Raw genomic sequence first — 14,302 nt, 5'->3', positions numbered from 1 at the left:
TTAAAAGGCAGAGAGCCTGGTCAGGATGCAGATGACAGGGCTTTCTGCAAAGTTATTGCCTGCGGAGAATCACCTGTTCTTTGCTCAAAGGATTTCTGAGCCACAGAACCCTAACCCCAGTTGTTCCCAGCCCCAACCACAGGAATTAGTCCCTGATATCAGACTCTGGATACATGGAGAGTTACAGTTCAGCCTCTGTTCTGCCTTCTGGTTCACATCATTGTATAGACTCCTTGGAAAAGATCTGGCTAAGAAAAGTGAGGACAAATTTAATTTCATATTCTGTACCTGCATACCATTTCCTTAAATACATTATCATGGGCTGGCTGGGCTTGGGAAAATATTGACTGATATTGTGGTATTTGATGTTCCCATTTAAAAGACCTAATATTTCAATAGACCGTGTTTTACAAACACCAATGGGAAAGGCATAAATCAAAGTCGGGATTTGGTGTGTTTTGGCCCTCGTCAGTAACACAATTAAATTGTGAAGGGCTGTGGACTTGGTGGAACGTCCAGGCTGCATATTAAATAGATGGTTGTAGATTGTCTCACTAAAAGCTGTTGATTTTTAATACTTCATGAGATGCCAGTAAATACAATTCAGGGGTGTTGCTTCTCCTGAATAGCTGGGAACCCCAGCTATTCCTAGGGTAATTCATTCATTCTGCCTGTCCATTGGTTTTTTCATTTGTTCCTTCAGTGTGATGTAGGAACACCACACAGGCACTCCCTCCCGCCTGGATGCATACACCAGCAAAGCTATCATAAGGAAAAGTAACAAATGAAATGTCCCATGAGCTATTTGAGAAAATGTTGCACATTTAAAGGTGCTACTGTAATTAGTAACGGTGATCTGCCACAGAGAGTAGAATCTTGGTGCTGCTTCTCATTGTGGAGGTGGAGAGGGAGCAGCACAGTGAAATCTCTCTGCTAATACCTGCTAATAAAGTCTTACTTTTCTCATTCCTCTCTCTCCTTAGCTTGCCATGAAGCACAAATGTTGAGAAACTGCCTATCCTGGTGACTCTTCTTAAGAGAAACTGAAGAGTTTGTTCAGCAGTTTTTACAAGAATTCGGGACCTCCGCTTGCTTCTTTTTTTCCAATATTTGGACACTTAGAGTGGTTTTTGTTTTTTCTTTTCAGATGTTAATGTGAAAGAAAGGGTGTTGCATTTTTACATTTCCCTAATGATCTTGCTAATAAATGCTACAATAGCATCAGCTTCATTTTGGGTTTTTGCCTCCTCCCACTGTGTGTATGTGTGTATATGTATGTTTTGAATATGTTTTCTTTATTAAAAAATATTTTTTGTAGTTTGAATATGAAATTTGGACCAAATGATAAACTGCGCTGAGTCTAAACTGGCAACATGTATTTTTTTCTCTGATATTAAGCAGGAAGGCATTTTAATGTGGTGACATCAGATGTTATTTTTCCTAGATGAAAATAAAAGTCAAGCAGTGATTAGTTTCACTCACTGTCCTAGCTACACTTAATTTGAAGATTAAAATTCTACATTGTGGAAAACAATTGAATTTATTGGGAAAAACAGCAGTCTTAGATTTTGCTCCTTGCATAGTAATCTTTTGCATGAACCATCACCAGCGTTCAAAAAAAAAAAAAAATCAGAATCGCAGATAGAAATCTCTTTCCTGAGTTACAGTTTAAATACTCTTGCTACTTGTATCCAGGGTGTTTACTTGGAATTATCATATGAAGGGTAAAAATTTGAGAGTAAAGCCCTAAAGAAAAGCCTACCTAAAACCCTCTGTGTACTCACAGATGTTTCTCTTGTCACTGTCATAGTGATGGTCGCTGGTATGGAAAAGTGCTTATATTTTTATCAAAAAATTGATTTGTCCAGGTAAAGGTCTGTGTCAATGATAATGTGAACAAGTAGTACATTTAAAATGTTTGTCTTGTCTTTTTACAGTCATGCCTATTTTAGAGACACCTTCATAATGTCCTTGGGAGAGGGCCTTTAGTTTCTTGGTATCTGGATTTTGGAGGTTTTGATGTTGTTTTTGCTATCTATTTATTTAATGTAATTTAATATGTGAGTTTCTTGACAAATTGCATTTCATGGCAATTGCACCTTGCCTGGTCTGATATAAAACACCACAATCACAAACCTTTACATTGCAGTCAGTTTCAATACAGTTGGTCACACACCTCGTGATTTTCTATTACTCAAGATAATAAGGGGCTTAGGGTCTAGAAGTTCTGTTTCCTAGAGGGTTAAAATGCTAAACATAAAAAAAGCTGTGCTTTTTTTGTGAAACTAGGAGACAAGCTGCACATCTCAGACACATTGTAAGCCTACCACTGCAGCGCATTGATTTTTAAGCTGCCTGAATCTTCAGGACCCCTATCTATTCCATCCTATCCATTTTGCTGATTGAGTCGATATGTATTGCAGCCTCTTACATAGGAGCATAAGATGACTTTTGGATTGTTAATACTGATTTAAATAGCTGAAGTTCTCCTAATAAAGCATTCCCAAGGAGAGAGAAAGTTTGTCTACTGGGGGTAAAAATATCAGATGGTGCACATTAAAAGGGAGATGAGATTTGTCGGAGACAGATTTCAGAATCCTTTTAGATGATCCAATTCAAGAAAACCCTCTATAAAATTTAATAAACTGTATAAGTTAACTATAATATTTTATACTTTCTTTTTGGTGTCTTAAAAATTTAAAGAAGCGAGGAACATGCCATTTGGTGAGTACCGTTGGAAGCTATTTTAATTTCTAGGAAAAGCCCCAAATATCACTCCAAATAGATTTTGTTTGCAGATCTCAGTTCAGAATGCACACACACACACACACACACACACACACACACACAGAGATGTATTTATCTTTCCAAATTGGATTCTGGTTTCAGAGATAGAGAGTTGGTATAAATAATTGAAAGGATAAATCTAAAACCCCCTGACAGTCCGCCAAATTCAAGAACAGAAGTGGTTGCCAACTCTCTAACAACAATGTTTGGGAAGCTGATTCCAAAGTAGCTGAGGATGAGGTCATAAGCATACTGTGAAACCCAAGATTCTTCTTCCCTGGTAGAATTACAATAGTTACTCTTGATAAATATAAGTATTCCATGTCTTGCCCTCTTTCCTCACTCTCTGCTTATCCTTTTAGACCTAAGTTTCATTGGAAATAGCCTGAATTAGAAGAAAGCCCATCCGAATCTTTATTAGCCCCCTCTAATGATTAGTTTCCAGGCTGCGTTCATACCTTTGACCTCTCAGTGTCAAAGTCCTACCTAGGCCTCCCCACAACAGAGAGGGCCGTAACAGCAATCCCTGCCCCTCCTTTACCTCCCAGCCTCTTGCAGAGGAGCCCAGTGATAACACATGTGAAGTTCTTTGCTGTCCTCTTGTAGAAGGTGCTGCAGTGCAAAGTATTAATACGGTCTTAGACAAAATAACTGTCATGATTTGGGACCAGTTTGGTTGAGCTTGTCAGAAGACATTTCATTTGTTTCATTTCTGCACTTCTCTATGAATTTTGGGATACTATATTTCTGTGAAGGACTTATTGTATAGACAACTCAAAAAGGAAAGAAACTTTCCAGTATTACCACTTCTTCCTGGAATATAGCTGTAGTATTTCTCACTAGTATTATTAGATACCTGTGTACAGAAAGTATGCAGTTATTCAGGTTAATGTTTCATATTAAAGAATGTATTTGTAAAATGTAACATGATCAGTAGTTACCTTTTTTCAAGCTCTGAAGAAGTTCAGATTACGTGTTAGACTTAAGTTACAGTGAAAACTGTTTTAATACTACTTTTGTGGCTAGCAAAGGTTGTGCATCTATTTAAAATTATTTACAGGATGCTCTAAATAAGGGGCATTAAAGATAGGTTTAGCTCTTAATTTTAGAAATTGTGACACTACTGATGTCTGTCATACAGTTATTCTTCAGAAGTTCTCTGAGATGTCAAATATAATTTTTGTTTAATTCAGAGATAAGTAACACCTGCTCTATTGATTCACTATTACAACAAACCCTAATTTTGTCATTAAATATTTTAACTCTGTGATGAAATTTGTTTCTTGCAGTTATTTATGAACTCTATAAAACACTACCAAATAAGTACATGTCACCACATTTTTTATGCTAATAGGAAAATCTTATGTGCCTAAGGGGAAACCTCAGAACTAGTATTAGCATGATGATAAAATGTCATTACATATGTTCTAATGGAAAAGCTTGGAATGTAATAAAGACTAAAGAGCTAACCTTAATTTAGACAATGGGCATCTATTCAGCAAGTTTTTTTTTTCCTTCTCCTGGGTGAAGCAATTAAGCTGATTAATAATTACCTTTCTGCTGATATCAGTGATGTACTCCATTTGAGTTCATTTTATTGCATGTGCCCTCATTCAGCAGACTAGTTTCTTGCCCTGTTAAATGGGAAAGAAGACCTGCTTGTATTGTGTCAATTTATTTTTATGGAAAAGCAAATGCAACATATTGCACCGCCCCATTTGTTTTCAAGGGAAGTGATTTGGGTGACTACTGCAGCAGAACAGCTGTCTCTGGGTTGGCATGGATGCTCGGTAAAGCAAGGGGGACTTGGAGATATTTCCTGGGAGGAGGGCAGGTGGAAAGGAGAGACCTGCAGTCTTCACTTGTCAGAGGAGAACGAGCAGAGATATGTTTGGGTAGATGAGGACCCAGCCTTAAGTGAATTATGCATTTAAAGGCACTTGCTCTTGTGAACTAAATTATAAGCTGATTGCCCTGCAGAGATTATCCTTTTTTAATGTAATTTTTATTAGCGATTATACCACAACCAACTCTCAAATTTTATGGGAGGATTAATATAAAAAAGCAGTGGTGCCTTTCTCCTGCATCAATGAGAACATGCTTAGGAAAAACGATTGACTTATCATAATCATCTGCCTAAACAAGCAGATTGGGGCAGATGTGGGGGAACAGAAGGGGAGGCATGGTGGAAAACACCCGAAATAAATTTCAAGATGCAAATGTCTGAGTATTGTTTTCTGTTGCCACCCATTCTGTGTGCCTTTCATAGGCTAACTTGTGTGGTAGCCGGATGTACGTATGCATGTTCACATAAGCACGCTCGGCAGGCATGGAGAAGAGAGCTGTGCGCTGCTCCTGCATAGCCCCCTGAGTCACTTTATGCCAACTTCCTGCCTATCTTGGCATGGGTGGGCAGGGGACAGTACTTCCTAGTGCCAGTGAAATTGTGGCAGTGCCACAGGTGGACCATTATCAGAGCATGAAGATAAGCAAAGATGTAAGAGACATGGAAAAAGGACACATCCCACCCACAAGGCAAGTCTCATGTTCTCTAAATGTGAATGCGCTAACTAACAGTCCTCTTTAACAAGATGGTGCAAAGGACGGGTTTTCTTGTGGTTTGCTTTCTTAAAATCTAGAAAATACATCTAAAATGGTTTTGTGTAACCAAGCCAAGCTGATGCTAAATTTGCCTTCATTTATACCTTCGCCCCAACCTTTTGAACAGTCTTCTTTCTCCTGTCCATGTCCTTCTCCTTGCTTCCTGGCCCTTCTTAAATCCTGCTTTAGCTCTCCCTAAGGCATTACCCATAAATAAAGTGTTGGTTTACAGTGGCTTCTTAGAGCAGTTCCTCCACCCTGGCTGCCTGCCACAACCAATTGGGGAGTTTTTAGAAATATACATTTACTCCCAAACTTGCCATTTTGATGTCCTTGGTCATGTTGTGTTTTCTAAAGAAAAAAAAAAAATTCCAGCAGGTCTGGGATGACCGGGCACCTGGCTTCCCCAGATATTTACTAGATTTTAAACCAGCAAATTAAAGCTGTCGAGGGCCAGGCTCATGCACGTAATCCCAGCACTTTGAGAGGCTGAGGTGGACAGAACACTTGAGTCCAAGAGTTCGAGACCAGCTTGGGCAACATGGTGAAACCCCATCTCTACAAAAAATAGCCAAGCCTGGTGGTGCACACCTGTAGTCCCAGCTACTGAGGAGGCTGAGGTGGGAGGATCACTTGAGCCTGGGATGTTGAGGCTGCAGTGAGCCGTGATTGTGCCACTACACTCCAGCCTGGGTGACAGAGCAAGATCTTGTCTCAAAAAAAAAAGCTGTCAAGAAAATTAAATATAATGTGCATTTAAGCTCTATTACTACTATAGTGTAACCTGCCTTAACCCCCATTTTATTTTCTCCCTTGAGCCTCATCTGGAACCTTCCTTGAGCCTCATCTGGAACCTTCCTTGAGCCTCATCTGGAATTCTCCCTTGAGCCTCATCTGGAATTCTCCCTTGAGCCTCATCTGGAATCCTCATCAGGATTTCCAGAGTTGTACTTTCACTTCCCATCTCTCTCCCTCCCCTAAAGTTTTCTGCTACATTTTCTTCTTTCTGCTCATAAGTCATGACCCTGGGCATAACAGTGTCTGCTCCCGTGGTCCATCTCACTGGCCACTGATGGACATAGTTCGATGAGGCAAAGCTGCCTTGCCTCCTTCAGCACACAGGGACTAATGGACAGACCTACGTGATGCTGAGTTGTTTGCCGATGTGTATTATTATTGCTCTCACATTTTGTCTGTTAGACGTTTTAAATGCTACTGATTTTCTCAGAAAAAGTGAAGATATTTTTGTACATTATTTTCCTGTCTTTTGCATACTCAGCCAACCCAAGGATGCCTGTTTCTATGGCTCCCGGCCTCATCACACATCCAGACTTATATGTGTCAAGAGCTGGACAGGAATTTCTAGCCCTGCAAGTCCCAGGTGTCACTTGTCAACCTTAGATATGGAGCCTTTGTCCCACAACATTGTATCACAATTGCTTTGCCACTTTGTCAGATGACATGGAAAGAAGAAAAATGAGCCCTTGGGTTCTCTGAGCTTAACCCTGCGATTTAAAACATGGCTTGGATGATCCATAGTATCTGAAGAAAATCCCTTAATTGTAACACTGCATCCTTAGTGATTGAAGCCTCAAGCGTTCTGTTAGCTTTCCTTAAAACAATTCCTTTGTTTTACTGCCCCAGGAAGGTAAATCCGGTTTCTACTATTAAACATGTCATTTTATTCATAGTACAGTGGCTTCTTTCAGGGGATGTTTTGTGTTTTTAGACCTGGAGATACAGTGACTAATACTGGCAAACACATTTACATTGGTCCGAAACTTTCCAATACTGAAGGAGCCTTGGCATTTGAACAGAAGGAAAATAAGAATGTATGAATTGTGCCCTACCTGGCACCTCCTGGAGTGGAAAAATAAAACACAGCTCCTTTTAACAGGCATGGACGAGGACAGGGAGCCCCCTTGCGGTGATTTCCTGGAGGCAGCATTGCATTGTATTTAGGATGAAGACCTAGGTTCACCTGCCCTGCTGTGAAATCCAGCTCCAATTTTACCACGTGTGAGGCCTTGAGAACGTTACTGACTCTCTCTGTGCCTGTTTTCTTTCAAATGGGGGTGATCATTGTAAGGACTGATGAAATAATGAATGTAAAACCTTTAGCCCCGTGCCTGCCACATAAGGGCTCCATGTATGTCAGCTTGGCAGTGGGCTACTTCCCTGTAACGGACCCAGAACAAAGCAGTAAACTTTACAGGCCTGGATGCCTGCCGCACTGTGCTGCTGGCTGGTAGAACAGACAAACCCTCCTTAAATTCACGTAAGCACAGGGCACACGGGGCAGACATTATTGTACCGAGATGCACTCATTTTTATGGCCCAGGGATGAAGACCCCTTGACATTCCATAGATACCAGCTCTGGGATAAAGGAGAGACTCCTGGACTACAGGCGCCCAGTGTTGGGCACTTTCTGGAAAAAATTCCAAAAAGGCTAAATTCGCAAAAGAGAGAAGTGAGACAAATTGGCCTCCATGTCTGTCATCAACTATGGGGATGGAAATGAATGGTTTTATGATCTGGGAGATGATGTGACATGTCCTTTGGACAATAATTCATACTCCCCTTGAAAAACAATGTTTAAGGTTGTTATACAGATATATTGGTGTGATTCCAAAGATGCTGGGAAGGCCTTTCTCAAAAATAAGCCACTCCCAAATGACTTAAGTTGACAGTAATTTAAAGAGAACCATTTACTCCACAAACTGAACCTGGGTCTAGAATGAAAATAGCTCTAAGAGAAAAAAGGAAGTAACTAACATCTCACTAATGTGTAAATTTGTAATAACGTACCTTTTCTGGAAGCATCTTGAGGCGTTCAGCTAAAAGGAAGGTCTCAGAAATACTATGTTGTCAGCATACCATGTTCTCCCATATTTGCCATGATGCTATTAATGACCAACATTATTATTAGGTCATTTGTAAAGGACAGTCCAAGCAAGGGGGATCATGCTACTTATAACAGTGGAGCTGCCCCAACCAAAATCTCAAACTCTACTCCTCTATATATTGCACTGTGCATTACGCTCCTGCCTGGCCTCAAGTGATCCTCCTGCTTCCCATCCCAAAGTGCTGGGATTATAGGCATGAGCCATTGCAGCCAGTTTGCAAATTTCTTTTTGTAAAAGTAAATTAGCTAGGATCCTTTCTAGCAGAGAGCCTCCTGGCTTTGTCACTAGCTTTGTGTTCTTAAGCAAATGATACAGTTTAATCTGTATTTGGATCTTTGTGTTGCACAGGAAAATCGTCCCCACCCTGCCTGCCTCAGAGGCCTGGTGAGTGAAGTGGGTTGTGGAATGTGAAAGAGCTCTGGGAAGTCCAAAGTGCTGAGGAGGTGTGTATTACTCACTAAAACCTGCATCTTTCACTGGTCCCACTCAACATTTAGAGGATTCCCTTATCTACCACCACCCCTTCCCCTACAAGCTCATCCCTGAAGTACTAGATGGTATCATAACTTCCTTCTCCCCCTCAAAGGAAAAAACCTCATGACACTTGGACTCTATTTGCCAGCATGGGAAGTAGAACAAAGGCAATAGTAGAAGACAGTTCCAACCTGCTCGGGGAAAGAGACAGCTGGACTGGAGACCACCCCGGGGAGGGGGAGATTCAGAGCATTCCAGGGGTTGAGGGAGAGTGTGGTGCCAGACTGTCAGCCTGTACACAGTCCACCCCAGGGCCACTGACAACTCTTCAGAGTCTGACATACTGTTGGAGAAACTGATCTCTACCCACTTGGGAACAGTTATCAAAAACAACAAAATTTTAGAAAGCAGCCAGGGAGAGTGGACATCCTCTCCCCCAGCATGGGGACTGAAGTGAGGCACACTCAGGTCCTTACATCTGGTCACCTAATGTAAGAGTCACATAGAGGGGCCACAGCAATGGCCAAAGTTTTGGGAATTCACTGGGTAAAAGTGGAAGTAATGGTGACTCAGTTATCCCAGGGAGACAGGATACGCATGGAAAGATGCGATCCAAGGCCATCCTTTCAGGTAAAACTCGGCTCACCTCAACACCACTCCCTGAGAGCAGCACTGTCATCCTGACTAGGGAAGACCCAGCTGCCAGCTCTCTGCTGCCCTGTGGGGTTGCCCAGCCTGGCCTCACTTTCCCTGTGGAAACAGCAGAAGGAAGGACGGGAAGAAGGCGTAACTGTCTCCCCTCAGTCTAATGCTGAGCTGGTCTAAGCCGTCTACTTCATGTTTCTGCCCTCTGGCTCCCCCATGACCCTCCATGGTGGCTGAGCCACCCTCCCTACGTAAGGTTGCCCTTGTGCACCTACCACCCGCCCAATCTGCTGGATGTGGACACCACAGGTGGAAGGAGTGCGAACCAGTGGCCCCCCGCCCCAGCCAGGCTTCCTGCAGTTCCCTGTCCTGCTTCTCTCTTTGTTCAATTCCTCTCTGCTGAGGTGGGATGAGGGGAAGGAAGGCAGAAAGAGGCTGAGGTTTCCACATGAGGGGTAGATGGGAGCTCTAACGAACATTATCCTTACAAAGCATGAGCGGCAGGAAAGGGGAAGGAGGAGAAAGTGCTGAATCTACTTTGGAAGCCATTCAAACCCATCCAACAGTCTGTCAACAGATGACGGCTTCTAGCGCTTCCCACAGACCTTAATTCCATAAGCAAACCCACAAGAGACGTTGGCCTAAATTTTCATTCATTGATTGATTGATTTATTTATTTATTTATTTATTTATTTATTTGAGACAGAGTCTTACTCTTTTACCCAGGCTGGAGTGCAACGGCGCAATCTCAGCTCACTGCAACCTCTGCTTCCCGGGTTCAAGCGATTATCCTGCCTCAGTCTCCCTAGTAGCTGGGATTACAGGCACCCGCTGCCACGCCCAGCTTATTTTTGTATTTTTAGTAGAGACAGGGTTTCATCATGATGGCCAGGCTGGTCTCAAACTCCTGGCCTCAAGTGATCTGCCCTCCTTGGCCTCCTAAAGTGCTGGGATTACAGGCATGATCCACAGCGCCCAGCTCGCCTAATTTTTTATCGTGGGGTTTTCTTTAGAAAAAAAAAAGCCTTAAATTATAGTTCTCAGGTTTGCTTAGGCCTAGAGAGAGATATCCATGCCCCTCACACGCCCCTGAGTTCAATCAGGACCGTAAACAAACACCATCCCATTACCCACTAGGCCTTACCTGGCCTGGCCATCTTTCAGTTCTCCAAACATGCGAGACTTTCACACCTGAAAACCTTCACACAGCTGTGACTGTGTGAGGAAGACTCTTTCCCTGACTCTTCACACGGCTGATCATTTCTGGACTATCACGTCTCCACTTAAATGTCTCCTCAGAAAGGCTTCCCCTGACCACCACATCTAAAGTAGACCTCATGGCTTTCCCTTCTCATGACCTGCCCTTCTTTCTTTCCACAGAACCTAAGGAAATGTGTGTTTGTACATTTGTCTACTTCTTTATTGTCTTGCCCGTGATACATTCAGCTCTGAGAGGCCAGGAACCATGTCCATTTTGTTCACCAGGCTGCTAAGGTTTATCAGGCACATAATAGATTCTTTCTAAATGAAAAAACCTGCCCTATGCTAAAGCCCCCATGCAGAAGGGGCACAAATGGGAGTTACAGAAAAAAAAAAAAAAAAAACCCAAGTAACTAAACATATGAAACGATATTCAGCCTCACTCATAGAGAAATGCAAATTTTGTAAAAGGTAGCTTTCAAAAGCTTGATTACACTTGACAATCAAATGCTATTGAATGGGAGGATGAATTGAGACCACATTTTAGAAGGCAAAATATTTGAAGCCATCACATTTTTCAGGCTTCGAATTGCCTGTGCCTGCCCTCCTGACTCAGCCCCTTTCCGGGTCTGCACTCTGCAGGTCTCCAGCCGCCAGCCTCTCCCGCCGCTAAGTTTCTCCAGCCTCTGGAAGGCAGAAAGCAGCCATCAGAGGGCACTTAATTCCCCAAGACAAATAAATAAATAAACAAACCTGCTTCTTCTTGTCCTGTTTCTTATCTGTTATCAGCAGGTTCTTCTGCTGCTCCCATTCAACTTCTGCAGCCATACATCTTCCCTGACTTTTCAGGGCCTTCCTTTTCTCTGGGATTCTAAATCTGGGAAAAAAGAAGAAATAATGGATTTCTAAGCTGCAAAGTTACTTCCGGTATTGGGTGACCTTTTTATTCATTTATGCCGGTTCTCAGTTTACCATTCCCAGTTTCAGATCTGCCCTTCTTTGCCCTGCTGTGTTATGCTGGACCTGGACTCTGTGAACATTGCGCCTGCTGCTTCTGGGCTCCTTAAAGGTTAACTACTTTTTACTAATTTACAATTCCTTATATTAAAATCTTCCTGTTTACACAACTGGCATGGTTTCCTTGTCCTGCCTGGGCCCTGCCTGATATACCATCTCAGTAGATGCTCAGTCAACTTGGTGTAGCCCCTGCGCCAGACCTTTACCATTCTCCCGAGCATCTTTTGGCAAATCCCTTACTTTTGGCAAACGATGTAATTTTCTACTTTGCTAAGATCAGGACTATGCCACTCAAAATAATTTCACTTTCCCCTCCTTCCTTGTCTAAGTTATTTTGGATCTCTACATGCCCAACTGTAATAGCCGTCCACAGTGAGGAGGACTCCTCTTCTAGAACCTTTCATCCCCTTCTCCTCCTGCTGCTTCCAGTACCTTGTTCCATCAACAAAAGCCCCCCTTTCCTTGTGCCTTTGGTCTATGCTTGTCTCCTCCATTGTGAAATCTTTAACATACCATCTTCTCATCAACTCTGCACAAAAAAACACCACGATAGAATGGTCCTGACTCCCGAGCCCTTACAAGTTGGTGTCCTTCCCAATTACACTGCTGTGACTGTTCTCTTGGGATGTCCCAGTCAAACATCCAGTGGCCAGTTCCCTGCAGTAGCACCAGAAGCTTCTAAACTCTAGCTCTGTGTCTTGCCTTCTTCCCAATCCCTAAGAGCACATTTTCCCAATAATTCCATCCTGCCCCCTCTTCTGTTTTTATATACTTTTTCCAAGTCAATGAATTTATTCCACAAACTGAGTTTTTAACTTTTATATAACAATACTGCTCTGGCCTTGACCTTTCTCCTGAACTCCAGAACTGAATTTCTGACTTTCCTGCTGGAAATTTCCATATAGCTCAATATGTTCAAATCTGAATTCATTTTCTCTTGTCACAGGACTATTTTCCGTCTCTTAACATACTGCATCAGCTTAAACCTAAGCTCTCTCCCTTGCCTCAACTATAAAGTGGGAATAGTAGCACATATCTCATGAGATTGTGTAGGGCTAAAATTTTGTTATAAAGTCATTAGGAGAGTTATTTCTTTCATTAATATCAACCACTCGAGTAGTTGCAAGCCTGTCAATTCTATTTCTTAGCTACAGCCTTTTCTACATGTGTCTTTTCATCATGGTGACCGATCTAACTCTAATCTCACCAATGTTTAGCTGAACTACTCAAGTTGCTCAACTTTTATCAATAATCTACTGTAAGCAATGTGTTTTGCATGTATTCTTGTGAGAATATTCCCTGGAAAGAGGGATACTAAAGTCATTCATCCCAGTCTGAATATTGCTATTTTCTACTGTGGTGGGAATACAATGTAACTAAAATGAGAACTGCACCAGAGATTAGAGATTTCAATAGCATTCTCCCGCCTCCCCTATGCAAACCTGCCTGCAAGTATATCAGGTCCAACTTCAGAAAAACAGTCTGATAATTTATGTCAGAGCTCACAAATTTTATCCCAACAGAGCCCAAACAGGGTATAAAATGAAATAAAATAGGTTTGTAGAAGGCAATTAGGAATGGCATAGACTGTGGCAAACTGAAATTGCATGTGTGTGTCCTAAAAGGACATGCTGCTACTCCGTTTCAGACATTGTGGGTGGCAATAAGGAAGCAGGCCAGTGCCACCAGATCCTCCAACTTTTTAAAAGAGAAGCCAAGATAGACATTTTTTATGTGAAACATACCATCTTAACTAAACAAAACACATCAGTAGTTAACATCTAGTCCTTTGGCTGCCTTTTTGGAAGCCCTCATTTATGTCACTTTCTTGCTCAAAAACCTTCAGGGCATTCTCATTATCTACAAAATAAAATGTGAATTCCACAGTCTAACATGCAAATTCCTACACGATCTAACCCCAGCCACCTTCCCAACTCACTCCTCACTTTCACACCTGATAGCTCAGTCATAAATCTGCTCTCAGAAGCCAGGTGCAGGGGCCCAAACATGTAATCCCAGCACTTTGGGAAGCAGAAGCAGGAGGATCACTTGAGCCCAGGAATTTCAGACTAGCCTGAGTAGTCTCATCTCTACAAAAGCGAGACCTCATCTCTACAAAAATACAAAATTAGCCAGGTGTGGTGACATGCGTCTGTGGTCCCAGCTACTCGAGAGGCTGAGGTAGGAAGATCACTTGAACCCAGGAGGTGGAGGTTGCAGTGAGCTGAGATGGCACCACTGCACTCCAGCCTGGGTGACAGAATGAGACCGTGTCTCAATAAATAAATAAATAAAAACAAATCTGCTCTGAGAGGCCACCACTTTTCCTACCTCGGTGTCTTGACTCACACTAGCTGCTGGGCCTGGGGCGCTTTCCCCGACAGACTCATTCAAATTCTACCTATCTTGCAGGGCTCCACTCAGTACATCTTCTTCCCACAAAATTCTCCCTGATTTTCTGCCAGGCTGAAGTAATCACTTACTTCTTCCTGTTCATGCTCATTGCCTTTCTTGGCACTCTAGAACATTCTGCTGTATATCACAGATGAGATCTGTCTTCTTACTAAACAGGTGGCTCGTAGAGAACTAAGACTAAATCTCAATTATGTCTGTGTATCTAAGGTCTACATTAGTAGACCGATAAATAGGTGTTCATTGATTCAATGAATGC

General features: G+C 42.3%; 1 protein-coding gene across 28 annotated transcripts in view; it reads left to right on the top strand.

Moving 5' to 3' along the window:
• STXBP6 (syntaxin binding protein 6) overlaps positions 1-4,262 on the top strand; it is a 240,694-nt gene extending 236,432 nt beyond the window's left edge. For all 28 annotated transcript variants that reach the window (NM_001394418.1, NM_001394420.1, NM_001394410.1 and 25 more), the window contains one exon: positions 984-4,262. In NM_001394418.1, the coding sequence (NP_001381347.1) occupies positions 984-1,007 (24 nt within the window). In that variant the 3' untranslated portion in view covers positions 1,008-4,262. The remainder of the gene's footprint in view (positions 1-983) is intronic.
• The last annotated feature ends 10,040 nt before the right edge of the window (positions 4,263-14,302 follow it).

Source organism: Homo sapiens, chromosome 14, assembly GCF_000001405.40.
Source record: "Homo sapiens chromosome 14, GRCh38.p14 Primary Assembly".
Lineage (NCBI taxonomy): Eukaryota > Metazoa > Chordata > Mammalia > Primates > Hominidae > Homo > Homo sapiens.
This window is presented reverse-complemented; position numbering and strand designations above follow the sequence as displayed.